Source organism: Homo sapiens, chromosome 1, assembly GCF_000001405.40.
Source record: "Homo sapiens chromosome 1, GRCh38.p14 Primary Assembly".
In the NCBI taxonomy this organism is placed as follows: domain Eukaryota; kingdom Metazoa; phylum Chordata; class Mammalia; order Primates; family Hominidae; genus Homo; species Homo sapiens.
This window is the reverse complement of record NC_000001.11, coordinates 46,478,318-46,486,991: the sequence shown is the minus strand read 5'-3', so window position 1 is coordinate 46,486,991 and position 8,674 is coordinate 46,478,318. Positions and strand designations below refer to the sequence as shown.

Below are 8,674 nucleotides of genomic sequence, written 5' to 3'. Positions count from 1 at the left end.
AAACAGGGAAAGGGAACACGTCCTTTAGGGAGGCCTGAGTGATGGGAAGCTTGATGTGCCACAATGTGGGTGGGTTTTAGTGATTTCACAAAGCCATTTTGAAAGTGCCACCGTCTAGACAGGAATCAATAAGTGGAAATAGTTCAGGGCCTTCCTCCTGGAGTCTCCCCACCTGCCTGCCCAGGGCTGTTGCTGACGCCTTCAAAGGGCTTAAAAGAAAGGCATCCCCTGAGGAACTGGGGACCTGTCCCCAGTAGACTTTCCTGGGCTGCTGGGACTAGGAGTGCAGGCAGTGGTGCATTTCTGGATGTGGTTTTATATTTGTTCGAATTCATTTTCCTGTGCTATGAGTATATGAATACATTTAAGTATATACTCCTATATTTGTGTGTAATATATGCGTATACACGTTTACATGTGAATGTAGACTGTGCTTATGTGGATTGTGTGAGTTTGTAAATTCCTAGGTGTGCGTGTGGTGTGTGTGTGTTTTGGGGGGAGATGTTTCTAAGTTGGACCAAGGGGGAGGTGGGTAAGGGGTGAGTTAATTTAGGAACTTGGGAAAACTAGGTGCTCACCGTTTCCAACTGGTCTGGAAATGCAAAGAACGCAGGGTCCCAGCTGTCTGCCCGGAACCACTTTAGGGGCCTAGGTCCCCTTGAAGTCCCAGGGCAGGCCCCAGCCCCACCATCGCTGGTCTCTGAGCTCAGTTTAGAGTAGCAATGTCAAACCCAACCACCCTACTCACACCCCAACTCTGTCTGTCTGTCTGTCTGTCTGTCTGTCTGTCTGTCTGTCTGTCTGTCCCTCTCTCTCTGTTTCTCCTTAGCTTCCCCCTCCACCCCCACGAAGGCTCCCTAGCAGCTCACAGCGAGGGTTTGGGGCGGGTGAGAGGGGTTGGCGAATGCCCCATGCGGCCGCCCTCTCAACCTCCAGGCGGGCAGGGGATGTCCTCGAAGAGCGGGAACACCTGGCTGTGCGGCTTGAGGGCCGGGGCCCCTCCCCGCCCCTTCCGGGCGGCCCACTGCCCTCTGCGTTCAGAGGAGGCTAGGTCCAGGTTCGGGTGGGGGACGCGGGTCTCAGTCCCCATCCTGGGCCCGCTCCCGCCCCAACGGCTGGCGCTCCCCGGGGCAGTGGCTGGGTGGTGGGCGGCTTAGACCTAATTCCGGAGTTAATGGCGGCGGCCGGGCCCCCCGCGGCCCCCTCCACCTCCCACCCCTACCCGGGGGCCCGGCCGCGGGCCGCCCGCATCTGCGCCGTCCGCAGCGATTCATCATCTTGATCCATGGCGCGCGCTGACGGCGGCCCCGGCCGCGCTGACAAGACTAACAAAGCAATTTGCCACGAGCCATCTCCTGGACAGGTTATTAGCGCGGCCGCCGCTTAAAGAGCCCTCCCCACTCCCACCCCCACCCCCAATCCCAGCGCAAGGCAGCTACCGCTCTGTCCCCGCCCTCCGACGGCTACTCCCCTTCACCGCTCAGAGATACCCCCGCTTGTTCCTGACCCTCTCCGACCACCCAAAAGTCACCCCCGCCCCCACCACACACACACACCCTGTTAGTTGCATGCACGTTCCTTCCTTCCCTTACTCCAGCCGCTACCTGCTCCACTCCCACCCTCCAACCCCGGTTCTTCAAATACCGCACGTGCTCCCAGCCTTTCCCCCAATACTCCCAGCCTTTCCCCCAATGCTACCTGACCCATCTCCTTCTCACCTCGAGAACTTGCTGACACCCAGAGGACCTCCTCATTTCTGCCCTCTCCACCCTCCTCCCGCCAGCCACCCCCAGCAGAGATTGGAAAACCCTATTTATTCGCAGCTTTGGAGTGGGGGGTCTCCTGTAGTGCCTTTGAGCATGCTGAGTTTCTTCTGACCACTCTTGCCCACAAGTAACTGTACTGTGAAGGGCAGGTAAGGTGGCCTTCAACTCCACTCACCCCGTGCCAGCTAGGGGGCAATGGCTCAGGCGCTCCTGAGCATAGTTCCAGCCCCCCAACCCACGTCTAGGCAGGCTGACTGCAGGAAGGCCAAGGCCTGGGCTTCCTCTCCGGTTGCACTTGCTCTGGGAAGTAAAGGAGACCAAGAGATAAGGAGTTCCCACTAAGCAATGCTCCTCCCACCTGGAGAGGCAGATGTGTAAGAGGGCTTTTGGCTGGATCTGGATCTCTCTCTCTCTCTCTCTTTTTTTGAGATGGAGTCTCACTCTGTCACCCAGGCTGGAGCTCAATGGCACGATCTTGGCTCACTGCAACCTCCATCTCCCGGGATCAAGTGATTCTCCCTCCTCAGCCTCCTGAGTAGCTGGGATTACAGGCGTCTGCCACCACGCCCAGCTAATTTATTTTTGTATTTTTAGTAGAGATGGGGTTTCACCATACTGGCCAAGCTGGTCTTGAACTCATGACCTCAAGTGATCCACCCGCCTCAGCCTCCCAAAGTGCTGGGATTACAGGCATGAGCCACCGTGCCCGGCCTGAATCTGTATATGTAATATGAGTATGGTACACGTTCTCATCCCCAAAGGCAGAGTGACTATTTGATGGTCCCAGACAGAAGTCAATTTTTTGAAGGAATTCTCTGGGTAGAGAGGATGTGGCCTGGTGCTTTAGATGTACTACACAGGTCTGTGTGAAGGGACTGGATGTGCACCCCTTCACTTGGGGAACACGCAAGTGTGTGTCTGACTGCATAAAGCCAAGTGTCATACGTTTGTGTACATTCACACATGGTAGGGGGGTCAAGTGTGTCCCCCTACATACATGTGCCGAGAGATTGCCTTATGTTTGTGTGCACTGAGGACTAAGTGTGCCCCTTGTGTGTACAAGGAGGCCTGGGAAAGGCCTGAGTGTGGCACATGTGTGAACATGCCTGTGTACACCTGGGGTAACTGGCCTTCAAACCAGGAAAGAGCCCCCACCTCCTTGTTCACTCTTCTCTCAAATCCAGCCTCAGCATTCCCAAACTGTCAGCCCCCACAGAGTGCTGGGGAGAGGCATGGCCCTCTGAGAACCTGGGAGGAGCTCCTGAGGGGTCCAGACAGAGGAGGCCCACTCTATCTTCAGGGCGGCTGGTCTTAAATCTCCACCCAGGTTGGTGCTGTGGGCCCAGGGTAGAGGCAGGGGGATGTACCATGTGCCAGGAGTCTGGCTTTTTTCTTTTCTTCCAGCCAACCAGGCCACGTCTTCACCCGAGGCGAGGCCCAGCTCTGTCGCTGCCTGCGCCACCACCACGTCCCTGACGTGAAATATGGGGGCGCAGGCCGCGCTGGGGAGATTTGTCATCTGTGCTCAGCGGGTGACTCTATCTGCAGACTATTAGAGTCTAAAATATATTTTACAAGAGTTTTAGCTACAGGTGACTTGCTCTTTATTACTAGATGTGGGCAAAATCAATACTTCTGTAACTAAAAGATCATTTATTTTGCTTTTTGAAACATTTTTCAACAGGGGCACTGGCTAAGCTTGCAAAGCTATGATTAAGAGTTATGGTGGCGCTGGTTTCCCTTAACCCTTTGAGGACCACAGCTCAGGCACACCTCAGGCTGGTGCCTGGCCATGGAAACACAGACACACAGATACACATCCCAAACGCAGCAAACACAGACGCAAACACAAAGTGCATGGGGCCCCCACCCTGATAAAGCCATCATGCAGATACACATATCTCATACATGTACACGCTCTTCCAGATACACATAGAAATATAGCTGCACACATACTCCTTCCAACCCAGAAACCCACAAATCAGATGCACCTGCACACAAATGCATGCGACTTGAAGGCCCCCAGCACACACTACACACAGATACCTCCCATTCCATGTCTGCACACACTCACGCATACACACTGGGACACTGAGATGTGCACGGTCACACTGTGCTAACTTCCAACACTGGGTCACTGAGCAACCAGGGGTTGGGACTCTGAAAGGAGGTTGGAAGATGCTGAGGAGTCCCACAAATGCAGCTGTGGCCACTACAAGCAGAGAATGGAGAGAGCCCAAAAGATGGGATCTGTGGAGCCTGGGCCCTACTATGGCCAAAGCCCAGTGCTCCTCAATTCCTCATCCCCAAGACAGCCCTGCCCCTCTCACTGTCAACTAAAGCAAGGGATGGTTTTTCCTGGAAGGAACCAGCCATATAGGAAAGCTATGAAGTATGACTCTATCAAAGCTGCTTGTACACCTGCTTGTGACACCTGGCCCAGCCCTGGGTGAGTTGAGAATGATCAAGATTAAGAATTACGAATGATTAAGCAGCAACATGCCATCCTCAGCATGGCATCTCCTAACTGGATTGGAGGTGTCCTCTAGCCATTATCTGATTCAGATAATCTGCATTAGCCCAGTTGTTATTTACCTCAGGGTTGGGAGAGTCATGGGGGAGATTGTGACTTAACCCACTCACAGGGTGAAACTCTAATGATGAGATTCCCAATAGTGAGACTGGTGAGGTTTATCAGTTATCCATTGCTGCATAACAAATTACCCCCAAACTTAGTGGCTTGCAACAAATATTTATTGTATCATAGTTTCTGAGGGTCAGAAATCCAGGAGCAGCTTAGCTGGGTGGTCTGACTCTGGGTGTCTCATGAGGCTGCAGTCAAGCCGCACTGTCCAGGGCTATATCATCTTCAGTCTTGATTGATGGGAGCTGGAGGGTCGTATTCTAGGAAAGTTCACTCACATGCCCGGCAGTTGGTGCTGGCTGTCAGCTGGGATGCCTCAGTTCTCTTGCATGTGGCCTCTAGGAGTATAGCCTGGACTTCTTTATATGGTGGCTGAGATGGATCAGAGAGAAAGAGACAGAGAGAGAGTGAGAGAGAGAGAGGGACAGAGGCGGGGGGGACAGAAGCTGTAGTCTTTTATAGGCTAATCTCAAAAGTGACATCCTGCCACTTTGTCATATTCTATTCATTATAAGCAAGTCACCAAGTCCATCCCATATTCAAGGAGAAGAGAATTAAGCTCCACCTCTCAAAGGAAGAAGTTATCAAAGAATTTGTGGGCGTGTTTTTTTTAAACTGCCACAACTAGGCAAGGAGACATTACCATTTTACCCAGTGTCTGCAAGATGACGAGCACCTCTTGATGTCTCCAAATCCCAGGAGGAGCTATCTTGAAGTTGGAAGGGTAGGGCCAAGGGATGGTGGGAACTCTGAAGTATCTCTTGCTTAGAACCACAATACAGCATTATAGCGTGCATGGTAATTAAATGCATGGACTCTGGAGCCAGACTGCCTGGGTTCAAATTCAGGGGGATGAGGGAGGGATGCTTCCTCACCAGGCTCTGCTACTTACTAGCTGTGACCTTGGGCAAGTCAACCTCTGTGCCTCAGTTTTCTTATTTGGAAAATGGGGGAAATAATCATGCTTACCCCCTCGGTTTGTTATAAAGATTGTGCTAAATGAGTTACCACTTAGCACCATGCCTGGTATGTGGGAAATGCCACATAAGTATCAGCTAATACTATCAGTTCTTCACTGTCATTGGCAACCCCCTCCCTGTGAACACTTTCTCACAAGGGATTTCTTGAGCACCTTTGATGTTCCTCAGGCTAATCCTATATACCCACCACCACCTCCCCAATTACTGTGGACCCCTCCCTATGACCAGCCCCACAGTTTGACCCAGCCAGGGGGCCAAGAAGAGGGGCTGGGCTCCGTGAGCACCATTTGACCCTGCCAGCCCAGCACTGCCTTTTGTGGCCTCTCTGGGAATGTTGTGCAATATGTTGGCCACAAACATTTTACGAGCAAGAGGACAGGGAGAAATTTTCGTCTATCGACCCACAGTCAGGGTTGCTCCCTCCCCCTCCTCTCCGTAAGTCTCCTTGCCAATGAGAGGGCCAAGGCCAAGGCTGTCCTCTCAGCAGAGCCCCCAAAGCAGCAGCCCAGTCTTCCCAGCACTAGACCTGAAACAACTACCCCCTCCCCCACTCCACCCCGACACAGAGGAGTAGGCAGAGCTCTAATCTAGGAGACCTGAGTGCATAGGGCCTAGGAGCCTTAGCCCTCTGGGGTGGGGAACCTCTCCAAGATTGCTCGGTCTAGGATCCCCAAAACATTTTCATCCAAATACCAATAAATAAGAAAAATAAGGTTTTTATAGGAAAATTTTCATAAAGCTACATCTATTCAATTTGAAGATCTATCCTCTCTATTCTGGGATTATGTCTTTTTTACTTTTTTGATTCTAAAATATCCTCTTTTTAATAAAATGATGCTGACAGCAGTTAGTAGTTTTCCATCTGTGCCCTTATATGGCAAAATTAATAGCTGGCAATTTTATTCTGGAACTCATATTTAAAACATTTTTTGCTGGCCCATGAAATGCAAACATGTGAAACACCATTCTCTTCTACATAGAAAGCACAAAACTGCCCCTTCCCCATCAAGAACACCTGCTGACCTCTAGCCTGGGTTCAAACACCTGGTGAAAAGGGGGAGCTCACTACATTCCTGCCTCAGCTTGGCCAGCAACTTGGTGTGACCTGAGGCAAGCCCCTTCTTATCCTGAGCCCTGGTTGGTCTCCCCATCTGCTCAGTGAGCAGTGCAGACTGATGTTCCTTCTCACTCTGTGATCTAGACCCACTCCAACTGCTACCCTGAGACCTGCAGCCCTTCTTGCTCTACTCCCTCGTCCACCTCCACCCTGAAATGACCACAGGTGGATGCTGATATTCTGGGCCAGGCTGGCTGGGCCTGGGATGCTCCCTTACCAGGTTCGACTGGGGATACAGTCTCTGAGCTGGGGCTAGGGGGGTCAGAGGGGTCTTTGGCCTTTGGCCTGGGGGACCCTTTGGGATGCGACAGGGACAGAGAAAAGGATTTATCTCAGGGGCTTGGCCTGCACTGAGCTCTCGGGACCCCCTCCCCTCCCTGCCCCTAAGGCTTGGCTGGAGCACAAGGGGCCCCTTTGTGGGGCCTAATCTCAAAGCACTTCGGCTTTAGCGACCTTCAGGGATGAAAGCGCCAGGAGCTAGCGGCCGGGAGGTGGTGTGGGGGCAGCCCTGCTAATCCCTGCGCTTTTGCCAAACAAAGCTGCCAGGAGGGGCTGGCTCCCGGGAGATGATCCAGAGAACCAATTCCCCGAGCCTAACCCGCTCTGACAGCCCGACAAGGAGAGGCCCGCTGCCCGCCCCCATGGCCCCAGCACGGCCACAGGGGCTGAGGGAGGCCTGGCCTAGGACTGTTGGGCACAGCCTGCCATCCACCCATGGACACCCTTCTCTGTCCATGAGCATGTTTCTCCACTTCCTTTCCCCCCGTGTCAGCTACACTGGCCTGCTAGTTCCTCAGCCTCCAAACACCTTAACCTGGTCTCCTCAGGCCCTACCACCCTAGCCCCCCCCAGGACCCCAGTTCTTAATTCTCAGCCCCTAAGTTTCCCAATATCCAAAATCCTCAGCCCCTCCCAATATCATCCCATTCCTTAGGACCCCAGACTCCCAGCCCCTCAGCCACCCAATATCCACCTCTCCTGATTCTCAGCCCACAATCCTTAACTCTCCATCTCACAACCTTTCAGCTTTTCTCCCCCAGTTCCCCACCCCAGGCTCCACAGAATGCCAGCCCTGTTCTCCCAGCCCTTCCCCTCCTGAGCTGGGCAGACACCCCTACCTTTCCGTGGGATGCATCTGCCTCACTCTGCCCTATGCCATTCCACCTGACCAGGCTTCCCAGTACCCCAGGGACCCAGACCTGTGCTCAGTTTGGCCATGAGAAGACGGAAGAGGGAAGTGATTCTGACTCGACCCTGATTAAACCTGTGTCGTGTACCAGACACTCTCTCCACCCATGACCACTTTGAACTCCTGATGCTTCATGCCGGTCTCACAGGTGAGCAGCATCACGGCCAGAGGAAGGGGCAGGGGTCTCTCCTGGGCTCCATGGCTTGAGAAAAGCAGCCCAAAGGGCTAGTTTCTTAGGGAAGAGGGTGTTAACAGGGCTGGGCATTCTACTGCCCCATCGCTCTCCTAAGCTGAGGAGACCCAGGATGCAGAAACCTCCACTAGGCTCAGAGAGGGCCAGGTGCCAGGTGGGTCACCCAGGCTGGCAGGGGTCACTGAGGAGCCAGGATGGCCTTGGGGCCCACAGGGGAGGAGGTGGGCAGGGCAAGAGGGTGGATTCCCAGGAGAGAGGTGGGGGCCAGGCCAGCCCAGAGCATTTTCCCACCATAGTTTCTGCTGTCTCCACTCCACTAATCTGATTACAATATTTACCAACCTCCCATGGCCTGCTTGGGAGGGGTGGCGTGTTACCCTGAGGATCTCAGTTCCAGTTCCCAGCATCATGGGAGGCCCAGAAAGGTGTTTACGGGACCTAAAATGACTGCACCAGGCCGTTCCTCCTGTCTGCAGTCACAGGGATATCTGAAAGACCCCTCCCCATCAAGTCTAGCCTTCTTCAGGAAGTCTCCCTTGCCACCCTCTGTGTCCAGTTTCCTGGGTCCCCTCCAGTACATTGGGTTCTCATGCTGTCCCATCACATTATTAATGTAATATAATAATTATATTATTCAAAATCTGAGGCAGTGCCTTCCTTCCCGAGGATAAAAACTTTAATAGTGAGTTTGCAGGCACTGAGGACAAAGAGGGTGGTGACGCAGGCCCCAGAGGGCTACTCCACCTAATTGGCATCAGTGTCACACACAGTTGCTGTGACCTCAC

General features: G+C 53.3%; 1 annotated feature.

Annotated features, from left to right (window-relative positions):
• Window positions 944-1,491: an enhancer, noted in NCBI's record as "H3K27ac-H3K4me1 hESC enhancer chr1:46951173-46951720 (GRCh37/hg19 assembly coordinates)". NCBI's record gives its function as "activates a minimal SCP1, AML or CMV promoter by ChIP-STARR-seq in naive H9 embryonic stem cells {active_cell/tissue: H9 hESC(naive)}" and the evidence as "EXISTENCE:reporter gene assay evidence [ECO:0000049][PMID:30033119]".